Source organism: Homo sapiens, chromosome 14, assembly GCF_000001405.40.
Source record: "Homo sapiens chromosome 14, GRCh38.p14 Primary Assembly".
NCBI classification, from domain to species: domain Eukaryota; kingdom Metazoa; phylum Chordata; class Mammalia; order Primates; family Hominidae; genus Homo; species Homo sapiens.
Genome location: NC_000014.9, coordinates 93,787,033 through 93,801,566, shown reverse-complemented (window position 1 = coordinate 93,801,566; position 14,534 = coordinate 93,787,033). Strand labels below are relative to the sequence as shown.

At 50.7% G+C, this 14,534-nt stretch overlaps 1 protein-coding gene across 3 annotated transcripts in view, besides 3 other annotated features; it reads left to right on the top strand.

Annotated features, from left to right (window-relative positions):
• Positions 11,579-12,290: an enhancer, noted in NCBI's record as "H3K27ac-H3K4me1 hESC enhancer chr14:94255623-94256334 (GRCh37/hg19 assembly coordinates)". NCBI's record gives its function as "activates a minimal SCP1, AML or CMV promoter by ChIP-STARR-seq in naive H9 embryonic stem cells {active_cell/tissue: H9 hESC(naive)}" and the evidence as "EXISTENCE:reporter gene assay evidence [ECO:0000049][PMID:30033119]".
• Positions 12,291-13,004: an enhancer, noted in NCBI's record as "H3K27ac-H3K4me1 hESC enhancer chr14:94254909-94255622 (GRCh37/hg19 assembly coordinates)". NCBI's record gives its function as "activates a minimal SCP1, AML or CMV promoter by ChIP-STARR-seq in naive H9 embryonic stem cells {active_cell/tissue: H9 hESC(naive)}" and the evidence as "EXISTENCE:reporter gene assay evidence [ECO:0000049][PMID:30033119]".
• Positions 12,573-14,534, top strand: part of PRIMA1 (proline rich membrane anchor 1) — a 70,697-nt gene continuing 68,735 nt past the window's right edge. For 2 of the 3 annotated variants that reach the window (XM_011536456.3, XM_047430966.1), the window contains exons 1-2: positions 12,573-13,002; positions 13,818-13,941. In XM_011536456.3, the coding sequence (XP_011534758.1) occupies positions 13,849-13,941 (93 nt within the window). In that variant the 5' untranslated portion in view covers positions 12,573-13,002; positions 13,818-13,848. Of the gene's footprint in view, positions 13,003-13,081; positions 13,158-13,817; positions 13,942-14,534 lie in introns of those variants that run through there. The other variant, NM_178013.4, reaches the window with a different exon arrangement.
• Positions 13,005-13,716: an enhancer, noted in NCBI's record as "H3K27ac-H3K4me1 hESC enhancer chr14:94254197-94254908 (GRCh37/hg19 assembly coordinates)". NCBI's record gives its function as "activates a minimal SCP1, AML or CMV promoter by ChIP-STARR-seq in naive H9 embryonic stem cells {active_cell/tissue: H9 hESC(naive)}" and the evidence as "EXISTENCE:reporter gene assay evidence [ECO:0000049][PMID:30033119]".

Below are 14,534 nucleotides of genomic sequence, written 5' to 3'. Positions count from 1 at the left end.
ATCGACCTTCCTTTCTCTGTTCCTTTTTTCTGCCAGCTGGCATGAGGATATGATGGCTGGAGTTTGAGCAGCTATGTTGGACCATGAGGTATAAAGACCCCTATGTGGTGAGGATGGCAGATCGACAAGCTAGAAAAAGCCTGACCCCTGTTCTATGAAGCACCCCACCAGCCCCAGACTTCCTTTTACCGGAGAGAGAAATAAACTTCTACCATGTTTAAGCCTCTAGGCATTATGGATCATGTCTGGTATTTACATGGTATTTTAAAGTTTACAAAACCCATTCCTATTTATGTTCTCTTGTGATCTTCCTAGGCAAAGCAAGTAACATTATTATTCCCATCTTACAAATGGAGAAACTGAGGTCCAGGGGATTTAAGTGGATTGCCCAAGATCATATGCCTAGACAGAAGCTGTCATTCAAACCTAGACCATGTGACTCCAAGTCCAGTCTCTCAGCCAGCACTCAGCGCATCTGCCTTCTATCTATCACACCCGCTTCACCCTACCCCTCCTCCCCAACACTGCGAGCATGGTCTTTACACAAATACTCAATGCCACTCTCTTGCTTCAACCTGCTCGGTGCCTCTCCTCTGCCCCCAGAATCATTCCAAATGTCTTCTGAGGATGGCTCACAAGGCCCACTATGGTGGAGTCTTCCCCTCCTGCAGCCTCATCTCTTGTATGTTCCTGCTCTGTCCTCCAGGTGTGTCCAAGAACACAGCCAGGAAATAACAGTACTAGGAGTAACTCAGACCCAGCTCTGTTTGACGCCAGAGTCAACATATTTTTCTCTTAGATCATCAGCCTCCCAATTCCTCACTGATTTCATAATCACACAGGAGGCTGAAAAAGGCAGCTGTACGAGTGCCTAGACACAGACTGCTCACAGAGCAGAGGAGATGGGGTTGGCTTGGTGTGGGGTTGGGCTAGGGGAGGGGGTGCTTCCTGGGCAGAGTGATGTGAGCTGGATTTGAAGGATGACTAGGACTTTGCCAAGAAGGCAGATGGCAAAGTCTTCCAGACAGAGGAAACTGCACATGCAAAGGCAGGAGGTGACAACTGCAAAATGTGTTAAATCATCAGCCTCCCTACTCCTGCTGAACTTTGGTCAACATCAGCCTCCCTACTCCTGCTTGAAGTTTGGTCAACTTCAAGCAGGAAGTACAATCGCACCAGGACACTGAAAGCATCGGGCTCTTCCGGTGTGCTTGCTGCCTGTGCTCACTTCTGTCCCACACCATACATATTATAAGCAGCTCTTTCCTTCTCTGTCTTCCCCACTGGACTGGAGCTAGTGAAGAATGGGCAGGGCCCCTGTTTCAGGCAATTCTGATCCCCAGTACCCACAGCCTGGCACAGAATCTGCATTCTCTCCATGTTTGTTGAGTGCCTAAATAAGCAAAGTTATTGCAACCATAAATCAGGGACTGTCCGGCTAAGTGAATCCTTCTACATCAGGCGCTGAGAAAGGCGTGCTCCTGGAAAAGTTACAAAGAAAATCTGTGTGCTGGGCTGCTCAGTGCTGGTGTGAGCAGCAGATCTTCAAGCTCCTGGAAGCTTCTGACATTTCTGACTAAAGTAAATGGCAAAACCCTCATTCCCTGAAATATCTACAAAGCTCAGAGCCAGACAGGTTTCCAGGCAGAGGCCATTCCGTGAAAATCCTATTGTAAACAAAAAGACACAGAGTTCAGCAAGGTCTCCCTGTGATGAAAAAGCCACTCAAACATGTAATCACAAGGCAAGACACAAAATGTAGAACTTTGTAAATTACCCTATTTCCATTCATTCCTTCAACAAATATGTACCAGGCGGTCACCGTAGGTCAGGCGCTGCCCTAGGCTCCTGGAGTATGGTGGTTGGCCTTTTTGTTTGGGTTCTCCCAATAGCAGAGCATGAGACAAGGACTTTGGTGTAGGTGATTTGTTTGGGAGGTGAGCCCAGAAGCAGGAAGAAGGGAGAAGAAGCCAGGGCAGGGGAGGCCAGGTCAGTTTGCGTTAAGGAGCCAGTTACTGCTGTGGGTGATGGGACCTCAGTCCCCTTTGGGGGACCCCCAAATCACTGTGTAGAGTGAGGCGTAGAACTGCCCCTCAATACTGCCCTATTGTTCAGACTACTCTGGAGGTGTCGCCTCCTACATTTCTGCTTTCGCCTGCTAAGCGGGTTTCCTCAGCTCTCAGGCAGAAGAGCAGAGAAGGCACGGCAGGAGGTTAGGGTGGGGGACTCCAGAGGAACTGCCCATCATGGCTGCCACCAAAACCGAGGTGGGGGGAGGGCATATGCCATGGAATGCAAAGCGTCCTCTGCAGGCAATGAACAAAGGGGCCTGAAGCCCCTGCCCTCATGGAGCTTACATTCTAGTGAGGGCAGACTCATAATAACCAAAGGAAATGAGTAAAATTAAGTATGTAATTGGGAAGCAATAAGTACTAGAGAGAAAAATAAAATAAAGTAAGGAGAATGGGGCCAGTGGTGGGGGCTGAGATTTTAAATAGAATGGTCAGGGTGGATCTTGTTGAAAAAGTGACCTGTGAGCCAAGTCTTGAAAGAGGGAGGGAGAGGGCCCTGCTGATCTGTGGGGAAAAGCATTCAAGGAGGAGGGAACACCCAGGCTGAGGTCCCAAGGCAGACTCAGGCTTGAGGGTTTCAGAAATAGCAAGGAGTCTAGAGGAGGAGTAATAGCAGATATGGAGCAGGTGGGGTTGGAGAGGTGAGGGGGACCCTTCCCTAGAGGTCCGGTAGCACTGGCCTTATTCATTTAATAACACTTCAGCAGTTGCTCACAATTCTTTACGGAGCTCCTATTACACGTTGGGTGCTGCCAGATGTCTGAACTCAAAGAGAAATTTAAAAAGCCCCTACCCCAGTGCTCTCACAGTTAGGAAAGGAGACAGAAGTGCAATTAGATAAAGTGGACGTGATTTCCCCCAACCTGCTGGGCTCAAAGTTTGACATACTTCTAATACTTCCCACTACAGCCCAGCAAGGCACATATCAGCCTCCTCATTTTACAGTCAAGGACACTGAGTCTCAGAGAGGTTAAGGGAACGTCCCAGATTGGACCCAGATTCAAGTGACATCTAAATCAGAGTTCTTTCTACTAACACCACAGCCTGCCACCTCCCTGCCAACAATATGTTATGGTGTCATAACAGAGTCTAGTGTGATAAGGTGCCATGATGGAGGGGTGGGGAGGATCCAGAGAAGGGAGTCTGGGATGGCTGTGTGGCAATTAGCCAAGATGACAAGAGGGGAAGGGGATCTAGGGAGGGGAGCAAGGGCAGGGAGGTGGGAAACAGTAGGGTGCCAGCGGGGAACTGCAGGTCAAGGTAGACGGGGCAATGGTTGGAGTGCCAGGGTTGGGTGCTCCTGTGCTGTGTTAGGGAGTCGTCCAGGAAGATTTTTTTTTAATTAAATTTAATTTTTTTGAAACAGGGTCTCATTCTGTCACCCAGGCTGGAGTACAGGCATGACTGTAGCTCACTGCAGCCTTGAACTCCCAGGCTCAAGCTATCCTCCTGCCTTTGCCTCCCAAGCACACATCACTGCACCTGGCTAATTTTTTTATTTTTATTTTTTGTAGAGACGGGGTCTCGCCATGTTGCCCAGGCTGGGACTTCTGGGAGGTTTCACCAAGAAAGAGAAATGGCCCTATTGGCATTTTCTGGGTTAGGTCTGTTTCTCCTTCCTCCATTAGAAGGTGAGGTCTTGGGGAGCTGGACCCATCTCCTTCCTCCCACAGCTTCTGCGTGACCCAGCGTGTGTTGGTGCTCGGCGGAATCGAGGAGACGGAGCTGGCTCTCCCGGCTGGGCTGGCATTTGGACTTGACTGTTCTGACCAAAGGAGAGGCTAGCCAAGCAGTTCCACCAAATGCTCTCTTGGATCGGATCTATCTGGATTCTCTTTTGACGTAGGAAAATGGCAACGACCAGGCTGTGGCCACGAAGCAAGCCCAGACTTGATAAGTTTTTTCAAAATGTTGGTCCTTTTTTTAGGGTTTCGGGAAGGATGGCAAGACAGAGGAGACACGGATGGTTTTAAAGGGAAGTTAAAAATCTGGGCTTCTTTCTGACTCCCCTGCCCCCCACCTCCCTGTCCAAATATCTAGCTTCAGAGATTTGGACCAAAGTATTCTTGGGGAAAGAACTAACTCACAGTTTGGGGCAAGGCAGATCTGTCCACACAACCCCAGGTAATGAATCCTGCTCAGCTCTTAGAATACTGACGGAGGTGAGGGACAAACCTCAGAAGGACAAGTGACGTCTTGGATGAATCCTAGAAGAGACTTGGGGTTCCCCCTCCCCCACACCTGGTCAATAAGGAAGATATCCTGTCTGGACAGATTCACAGCTGACCTACAAAACGCGCACTGACAAGTAACTTTAATTCAAGTTCAGGAAATGAACAAATTGGATAATACCAATGTCTTTTAAAATAACTCTGTTTATTTGCAGCATTTAAAAAAATCAGCCTTCATAACTTTAAGGTTTAATAATAAGTGTTCCTTTACTAGTCACTTTCTTTGTGTTTTGCTCATCAAGATCCTTGAAGCCAATTAGTACTCATGTAAAAGAGAGGCATCTTTGCCCCTCTATCCTTCAAAATATTTAGAGATAGACTTTTTTTTTTTCTGTGAGCAGTTATATTGTGCCAGGCTAAGTGTTTATATGAAATATCTCAGCTAATCCTTCCAGGAACTCTGTGATCTAATTATATCTAATAAATACTATTCTAATCCCTAATAGAAAGGGGAAAAGAGTCAGGCCTCAAAGTTTAGGAAATTCCCCGAAGATTGTGTAGTTAGTGAGAACCAAGCACTATGACTCAAGAGTCCATGCTCCCGACCAGCATGAAACTCTCCCCACCTAGAACCCACCTGTATTCACGGAAAAGTGGAGGCCAAGGAAAACCATCTGGATTCTTAAGGAGCTTCCCCTTTCAATTATCCACAGTTATACAGATGTTTCGGGCATAAAATATCCTGGTTGCCATGGTGTTCCACTTCATCTGATGCATGTGGTCATAGCCTCTGGAGCCCAGGAAACCTCTAAGAACCTGTCTAAGCCTGGGTTCCCTAGAAAAGGGGGCCTGAAGCAAAGCTCATGTAGCAGCACATTTTAGGGGTGCAATCCCAGGTTAGAAAGAGCAGGGGAAATTAGGAAAGAAGGCAGGGAAGGAAGGAAAGCACATCATGTGCGGTGCTGAAGTGGCCACAGTTTTGCCAGGGAACACAGCCAGTTGTTCGGTCACACAAGACATATGTCAGTAAGCCATATGGATGGAGAAAGGGAGATAAATAATCCACCAGATCTTTTCAGATCCTGTCATTGATCAAAGTTCATCCCACAGGAAGTTAACACCCTCCTCCACTTTCAGGTCATGGTCCTTGCTCCCCACTGACAACTACTGGGCAAGCCAGACCCCCTCCCCATGGTGTGGGGAGTATACTCAATCCTCTGAGTATACAGTTGGTGGTAGGTCCTAGGTCAGGATTCTGTGATGCTCGGGTCAGAGTCATAGCTTCCAGTAGAGTGGAATCCTTACTGTGTTCATTAGTGGGAGTTGTACTGTCTACAAGCCAGGACCTCTGACTGTTCTAAATCTGAGGTTGCAGGGATAAGCACAGATTCTGCAGGTTCTCCATGACTCCAGTCATCTGGGCCTGGCCCCCGCTGCTGCCATGGCCCCTTTCATGGTGTACATGATGGAGGCCGGGCTGAAGCTCAGCTCTTACCTGGGGGAGGCTGCAAAAGACAGTGGCGTTAGGAGATGGGACAGTGGTGGCACTGGCTGCCCTCTCCATTGAGCAGAAGGGGAAGCAGGTAAGGCCAAGTAAACCCAGGAAATGTATGGATGGGGCCCAGTACAGTCCACTCCTTGTGCTTTTCACAGTCCCCCACCCCATTCTCCTGTGATATTTGGATCTAACTTGAGAACAAAATGCCATCAGTTTGAGAGTGAAGGTGCAAGTCCAATTTTTGAAGTGATCAATTGCAACTTCCTAAAACGGCATAAAAAGATTAGCAAAGGAAGCTAGAGTCCCACTGCTGTGGCTGGTCCTAGGGCCATAATTGACACTCATCATCTTCTATCCACTCTGACCTTCCTTTCTTTCTTTTTTTTTTCTTTTCTTTTCTTTTCTTTTTTTTTTTTTTTTTTTGAGACGGAGTTTTGCTCTTGTTGCCCAGGGTGGAGGGCAATGGCATGATCTTGGCTCACTGCAACCTCCGCTTCCTGGGTTCAAGCAATTCTACTGCCTCATCCTCCCAAGTAGCTGGGATTACAGGCATGTGCCACCACGCCCGGCTAATTTTGTATTTTTAGTAGAGACAGTGTTTCTCCATGTTGGTCAGGCTGGTCTCGAACTCCTGTCCTCAGGTGATCCACCCACCTTGGCCTCCCAAAGTGCTGGGATTACAGGTGTGAGCCACCATGCCCAGCCCCATTCTAGATTTCTAGGGCCAGCTCTTCAGTGGGTCTGAGGTTCTCACCTGGAGGGTCTTCGGATGTTGTAATTGCTTGTTCACGGCTATCTCTGAGCAGAGAATCTCCCACAAATCCCAGACGACCAGATGTATTTGTCAGCTCAGGCTGCTGTAACAAAACACCCCAAGCTGGGTGGCTTAACCAACAGAAATCAATTTTCTCACAGTTCTGGAGGCTGAGCGTTCTAGATCAAGGTTCAGCAGGGCCAGTTTCTGGTAAGGATTCTCCTGCTGGCTTGTGGACAGCCGCTTTGTCCTCACATGGCTTTTCCTCTGGGTACCCAGAGAGAGGGAGAGAGCTCTGGTCTCTCTTCCTCTTCTTAGAGGGACAACAATCCTAGTGGATAGGGCACCATGCTTATGACCTCATTTAACCTTAATACCCCCTAAAGACTCCCTCTCTAAACATATCTAATATCTCTAAATAACCCCTAACGTTGGGGGTAGGACTTCAATGATGCATTTTGGGGGAAACACTTCAATCCAGAGCACAAGACATACTCTTCCCTGCATCCACTATGTAACACCAGCCCTTGCTCCTCATGGTAATGAAGTACTATCGTGCATCAGTATAGCAAATCCTCCTTTCTCTGCTGCTCCGCTGGCAAGAGGAGCACAAGGCACCCAGGTCACAGTCACAGCTTCCAGTTTAGTAGAACCCTTACTGTGTTCACTAGTGGAAGTTTTACTCTCTATAAGCCAGGGCCTCTGACTCTTCTAAGTCTAAGTTTGCAGGAACAAGAAGCACAGATTCTGCAGGTTTCTTGCTGGCAGTCGGACAGAGGAGCCAATCCTACTTCCACTCCTTGGTTCCTAGATTTGTATATTCTAACTATCAGAAACACATCTATTGACTCACACTATATCCAGGAGAGCAGTGCCCCAACCCCACCAGCTCTTGTCTCTAAGCTGATGTCACAGCTGAGCCTTCAGTAGACCATCTCATCACTCAGGGAAGCCCTAGGATGGCCAAAGAGGGGCTGGGTCATCCCGTCCGGCTGACTGTAGGAGCCTCCTTGGCAACAGATGCTCTCTGGAGAGACAAGCACGAGGCAGAAAGCCCCATACTCTTTGTGCTCACTCCCATGAATTCATCATTTACTGTTTACTTGACCTCCATGCCCCTGGCTTTTCATTTTTGTTCTTTCCATGTCCCTAAATGATTAGCCCAGTCGTTTACCCCGCACAGGAGAGTGTATGTCTGCACTTTGGGCCACCTCTCCTACCCTTGAATGGGAGGTAACACAGCAGTCATCTATTCCCAACTAGCACCAATACACCACGTTGACCTGGGTGTAAAAGAGGCCCTGGTGCTTTCCTCCTCCATCAGACTATCATATGGAACTCCCATTTGGGGCTAAACATATATATTGAGGAAGAGCTTCAACAGAGGTGGGTGACATGAGAATCTGGACCAGCTGTTTAGGCAATTTTCCTGTTCCTTCTAGACCTGCTCGAGCCTCGTCCTATACATACCACTTCTATCACATGCTGGGTTGCCACTGTCCATGGCCGACCTAATGCCTCAGAAATCCAGCCTCCCCTTTAATCATAGGCTCTGGACTATGAACAACCTTAGATAATTTCCATTGCAGTAGGTGTCATCTTTCTGCTCTTACACTCTTTATTTTAAAAGTTTATATATTTATACAAGTCAAGCAACACCCCTGTTAGCTCCCCATTTCTCTCCCCGCCCCCCCAATTACATCATGATCTGTCAGTCATTAACATAGATTCCTGGCTGGGTGCGGTGGTAATCCCAGCACTTTGGGAGGCCGAGGTAGGCGGATCACGAGGTCAGGAGATTGAGACCATCTTGGTTAACACGGTGAAACCCCGTCTGTACTAAAAATACAAAAAATTAGCCGGGCGCGGTGGTGGGCACCTGTAATCCCAGCTACTCGAGAGGCTGAGGCAGGAGAATGGCGTGAACCCGGGAAGCGGAGCTTGCAGTGAGCCAAGATAGCACCACTGCAGTCCCGCCTGGGCGAAAGAGCGAGACTCCATCTCTAAAGAAAAAAAAAAACACAAAAAACATAGATTCCTATGGCTCCAGGCACCCTGGTTGCCACTCTGGCCTTGCTGCCCATTATGGTAATTATGCCCACTTTGTCCGGCATGACATTATGCCACCTGGCCTTTGCCATTCCATTGATTGCCACTGATCCAAGAGAGTCCATTTCCCCACCATCTCCCATCATTGAACCCAGGCTTCAGAAGACAGCCACCACTGAATTTCTCAAAGGTGCTGATGGGCTCATTAGGACTTCTTTTTTCTGTTTCAATGAAGGGAAGATTCTCTGGGCCATCCCAGGGAACATAGGCCAGTGGTGGATTCTCAGGTCTTATGAGTCTAATATTCACACCTCTGAGCCTTCTGGTCCTTTTCTTCTTATTGTGCCAAAAAAATGTTCTGGCATCTCGCGTATTTACTGTAGGCTGTTGTCATTAAAGCAAGTACTATCTTGCAAGTTTCCTGCTTCAATGAGGTCATTGTCATCCCCAGGCCAAGAAGAGCTGTTCTGTTCTTCTTGCTTCTACCTTTCAGAGGATTCAAGGAGATTGGGGTCCAGATTTTCAGGTTTGTTTACCCGAAAGTTTCCATTCCAGGTCACCAGCTCCAATCCTTTCTTTATTAGAGCTCTGACTTGGACATAAGACATCTATGTGGCTGCACATTTAGTCTCCTTTTCAGCTCTGCCACCCTTATAATGAGCCCCCAAGCTTAATTTTCAGTGCAATATGTCTTGTAGATGTCAGGAGCGTCCTTAAAGTTTTCATTACAAAGCATGCCTTACGCTGGTAGATAGCTTCCCTGAGTCTATCATTTTCTCCTTGCAATACCTCCAATACCATCAGAAAAAGCCACTTAACCCCAAATGCAATGGCCATTTGATCTCATAAAGCCTTATTTTCTACCTGCATCTCATTCCAATTAGCCACAGGTGAAGTTTTAGAAATTGTAATATCACTGTATGCCAGCTATGGCCCAGCAGTGGAGACCCTATTGTAGATAGAAGACAAATCCAACATTCCATCCTAAAGGTCTACTTTTTAGGACAATTTGTGGTAGCAACTGTCCCTCCATTCAGTTGCTACCACAGTTGCTGTCCTCCAGAACAGGAACAACTGTCCCTGTTCCTTAGGAGACAGAGTATTAAGCAATAATGCTGCTTGCTAATACTTTATTGAGGGATAAAATCCTAGGGCAACAGACACAAGGCAAAAAGTGAAGCAGGGCAGGAGGGAAGCTAATAGAAAGTTGTGCATTTTTGTGAGATAGGGTCTTGTGATGTTGCCCAGGCTGTTCTTGAACTCCTGGGCTCAAGGGATCCTCCTGCCTCAGTCTCCCAAGTAGCTAGGACTATAGATGTGTGCCACCAGGTTGTACATTATTGAGCTGGTCATATCCTCAGAAGTAAAAACAGCCAGTTGCTCAGTTGCACCTGCTGGACATCTGCCGACAGGCCAAATGGAACCACTGCACTCCATATGCTGGGTCCCTTCCACCTCTTGTCCTTCACTGGTCAAAATGTGTCCCAAGCTTTAACTCCCCTGTATTTCTGAGTAGATGTATCTGGCCCCTGTAGGCAGACCTCATGTGGCCGTGGTGTGGGTTACCAACTGATTGAAAAGGGTGAGAAGAGCCATGTTCTCTCTAGGCCGCTCATGGCATAAGAGGCCTGTGACAGAGCCTGGTCTTCACCCTAAGGGAGGTCACAGGGGCGTCAGCAGGATGTGGGGCCAGGTTGCAGGGAGCTGAAGGCCCATGGGACGTAACCAACTCATCATTCTGCTGGAGGCTATATGATCAAACAGCAAACTGTTTATCATGAATGCAGGATGAGGGCAAACTCACAAGGCCCTGCCACCAAAAGGTTTGCTGAGGGACATCACTCCTTGGTGCCGGGCTCCTCGAAGTTATCTATTGGGAAATCTAGCACCTATTGTTCAAAGGATGCAGCCTCACAAGCCTGCTGTGAACCAATTGACAATTACTGGACAATCACACCCCCTCCCCTTTCTCACTATCTCTTTTGCCTAATAAATATGGAGAGCTGTGTAAAACTCAGGGCCCTTGTCCAGTAGAGGCAAGGCGCCCCCTGACCCCTTCTTCCAAATACACTCTTTTATCTCTTGTCTTTTATTCCCACGTTCGCCCCGCTTTGTTCAGTCCCCCTAGGTCCGTGCAGGCTACAAGTGGCACACTGAACAGTGACAGAATCGGGCAATCTACACCAGGTGACCCTCGAGAGGTGCATAGATTAGGTCCACTACAGCAATATTGAAGACCAGATTAGACAATGCAGGTTTTCCAATGCACAAAACTTACCTAAGTTCTCCCAACGTCGTGAGCCTCTAGTTGGGGGTTAGTATTTCTGAACCCCCAGTGAGCCGCTGTGTGATTCTGGCTCAGGCACAAAGGTCTCTGAACTGTTCACACAGGGCAATTACACTTACATCAAAGAGTTGTGAGACCTGAATTAAAATGCGGTGTAAATAACATTTGTAAGTGGCAATGAGCTCCATGTGTAAACATCAGGAGCTGTTGTCAAATGTAAAGATTGTGCTGAGCAAAATACCACGACTTGTTTTAGCCGGACAGGCATTAAAATATCCAGTGTTATTTTGACCTCAGCTGACCAATAGCTGCTCCATTTCTCCAAACTGTAGATGAGTCACCTAGGAAGTCCCTACCCCTTCATCTTCTTGCCATCCTCCCTCCATCCTATCCCACCCCCAGTGAGATATCCTCTTGTTCCCTTTTCTACCCAGCATCCAGAGTTCTGTCTGGCCCCCAGCAGGTGCCCATGGAGGCTACATATGGAATGAAGGAATGAAGGATTGAATAAATGTCTCCATTTCTTTGCACAAAGAGTTACCAATGCTTGAGATGTTCCCCTACTCCCAGGAAGTCACCCTCTCCTGGGAGCCTTTACTCAACCCGCCCTCCATTCCTGTCTTCCCCTTTCTCGGGGCAGCTGTGTGTGACATGCCAGTGCACAGTGGAATGGTTGGTTTTATCCATCTCCCTGACAGGCCCCTGAATTCTTAGGGGGGAAGGAACAAGGTCTCATTCACATTTGTCCCTGCATCTTGCTGGTTGAGGTGCAATCTGCAGCCTCGGGGCGGCGCTCTGGCATGAAGGAGGCCGCTAAGACGTTGTTCTGAAAGCTGGCTTGCAAGGTAGTTTATACTCTGCAAACCAGCGTTTATAGTGTGTGTTTACATGAGTGGCTTAAGGGTGTCCAAATACCGGGAAAAGGTGCTCAGTAAATGTTTCTTCCATGCATGCACTGTAGTATCTGACCCTCAGCTCTGTGTCTTAAGCCCCTGGTTCTCTCATCCAACCTAAAAATAGGATTGTCCAGGCCTTGAGGGCCTTCTGGAAGGCGCCCCCATCAGTCAAAGCGCTTGCAAAGTGCTTCCACCACAAGAGCAGAGAGGCCGCGCCATGCCTGTGATGCTGCTAGGCACAGCTTGTCTGAAAGAGATGCAACCAGGCTACCTCCCGAAGAACCGACTTGTTGATAATCTTGCCTCAAACAGAGGAGTTTGCAGATGGTTGAGGAAGAGCAGTGGTAGAAATGTTCTCCCCAGGGCCGTCACAACTCCTTCCCAGCCGCAGCCTAGTGTTGCAAGAGAGTTTCTGCTGCTGGGACTACAAAGGAGAGGACAAGGCCCATGGCCGGGAGAGGGGCGGCCTGCACCTTTCAGCCCCGGCGCCCGGGAGAGCCTGCGGGGAGTGCGGCGGGGAGAGTCCTCAAGGATGGAGCGCAAAAAAGGGTCTCAAGTCAGTCCTCGCCACCTTTCCGCAGCCTCGGGAGAGGCTTGGGGGAAGCGCAGGCAAGGGCCAAAACCCCATGGAAGTGGGAATCCTCGGCCTCCAGGGTGAATAAATAATTAAGCGCCCAATACACAATAGCCTCGCTAGATGGAGACGAGGAATCACTGCAGCGGCGCTGGCGGCGGCGGCGGGGGGAGCGCAACCCCGGGCGGGAGGCGGGAGAGGCTCTGGCTCGGCTCACGTCTGTTTTCCTTTTTCGTGGATTATTTATTTCGCCTCCACCCACGGCTTTGCTGCCCCAGCGGGAGCTCCCTGCCGGCGCCTCCCGCCGCTGCCTCTCGCGGGCCAGCGTGAGGGTAGTAGAGAGCTCGGGCACCCCAGTGCCCCGGGCAGCCGCGCGGCGCCACCAGGAAAGGCGGGGAGCCAACGCGGGCCCGGGGAGGGCTCGCGCGGCCGGCTCCAGGCGGCGTGGAGGAGACTTTCCCCGCCCTCTGCCTCCGCCTCGGCGGCCAGCCCTGGCCCTGGGAGCGGGGTGCCGCCCCTCCCGCCCCGCGCGCGGCTAGGCGCAGTCCGGAGCCACCGCGCCCTGCGCCCCGTGCGAGGACGCCGCTCCTGGTCCTCTGCTCAGCGGCCCGGGAGGCCCAACCGGCGCGCAAACTTTTGCTCCAGCGCCGGGCGCTCCTCCCCGGCATGTGAAGCCCCCGGGCGCCCGCGCAGCCGCCAAGGTGAGGACGGAGGCCCCGCCTAGAGGGCGGGGGACTGGGGAGGCGGCTGGCTTTAAATGGGGGCTGTCCGGCTGCTGGGAAACAGAGCTGCCGCGGGGGGAACGCGGACCTCTTTTCCCCGAGCCCAGGGTCGGCTGGGGCCGCCGCCAGGCAAGGTAGCGTGAGGCGTTGGAAGGGTGCGGGCGGAGATGGAGGCGTGGGGGAACCCACGCCCGGGAGCGGGAGATCGGGGCTGGGCGGAGGCGTGCAAAGGGGCAGCGCACGGAGGTGCCTATGTTGCAGTGTGCGCAATGAGGCCGGCTGGGCAGTGTGGGTGCAGGCAGCGTGAGATTTCTTGGGGCCGTGCATGCAGGGTCAGCGAGGGTGCAGGCAGGAGTCGGTGGGTGTGCACGGGGATCAGTGTGTGTGCACGGCTGTTTCTGTGGTTGTGCGCGCAGGTGAGTAGTGCCCGCCGGGTTTGAAGTGTGCTCACAGTGAGAGTGAGTTGTATGGGGGTTAATGGGGCGCAGTAAGTGTGCTTGGCTGTTTCTGGAGGTGTCCATGGGGCCAAGGTATGCACGCAGTATTCTGGAGCTGTGCGCGGAGCTAAAGTGTACACGCGGGGCTCTGGGGATGTGCGTAAGAAGAGTGTGAATTCTGGGACTGACGAAGAGTCAGTGAAGGTGTAAGCTGGAGTGTAAGTGCAGGCTTGGTTTACTAGGGTGCCCCTGGGTGCGGGGCGTGCCCGTCCGACCCGGGCTGGGAGGTATATTGGTGCGCGGCGGCGGAAGTGCCTGCGCGGTGTCCGCCTGACCCTAGCCTTGCTCTCCTGACAGTTCGCCCCAGGAGCGGGCGCCGCTGGCCGAGATGCTCCTCCGGGACTTGGTGCTGCGCCGTGGCTGCTGCTGGTCCTCGCTGCTGCTGCACTGCGCGCTCCACCCGCTCTGGGGCTTCGTGCAGGTGAGACGCGCCGGCTGCGCACTGGCTGGGAGGGCCTCCTGGGTAAGGGGCGAGCTGTCCCTTCCCTCCTGAGACCCTGGCCTCTTGCAGCCACCCCACTGATTGGTTCTCGGAAGAGCTTGGGAAAAGAAAAGCTGCTACGGTCCCCTATACCCTACCCCTGAAAAGATAAGAAACTCCAAAGAGAGGCTTCGATTGTGGCCTAAATCCTGCAGGACCGGGCTGGCCTTGGAATGGAAAGGGGCTCAGAGAATACCTTCCAATGATAACATTCTAGGGCAGAAATTCAGCAAAGAAACAAACTTACAAAGAAAAATGATCCCAAGGATATATATTATTTCTTTCTCACCAGAACCACTGATGAACTTCAAATTAGCTTTCTTAAACTGGTTTTCAACACGGAAGGCAGCCGTGTTTCTTATAGGTATCAGAGTTGAGGATGTAGACAGATAATGCATGGTGGCCCATCTGTCAGGACTGCCCAGGGTTGAATCTCTCACCCTGGGTCCCTTAAATCCCAGGGCAGAGGCCAGGCAGCCACTAACTGGAGTTACCTCTTAGGGTCAGAGAGGGGTTTCAATGGGGTGGTCCCT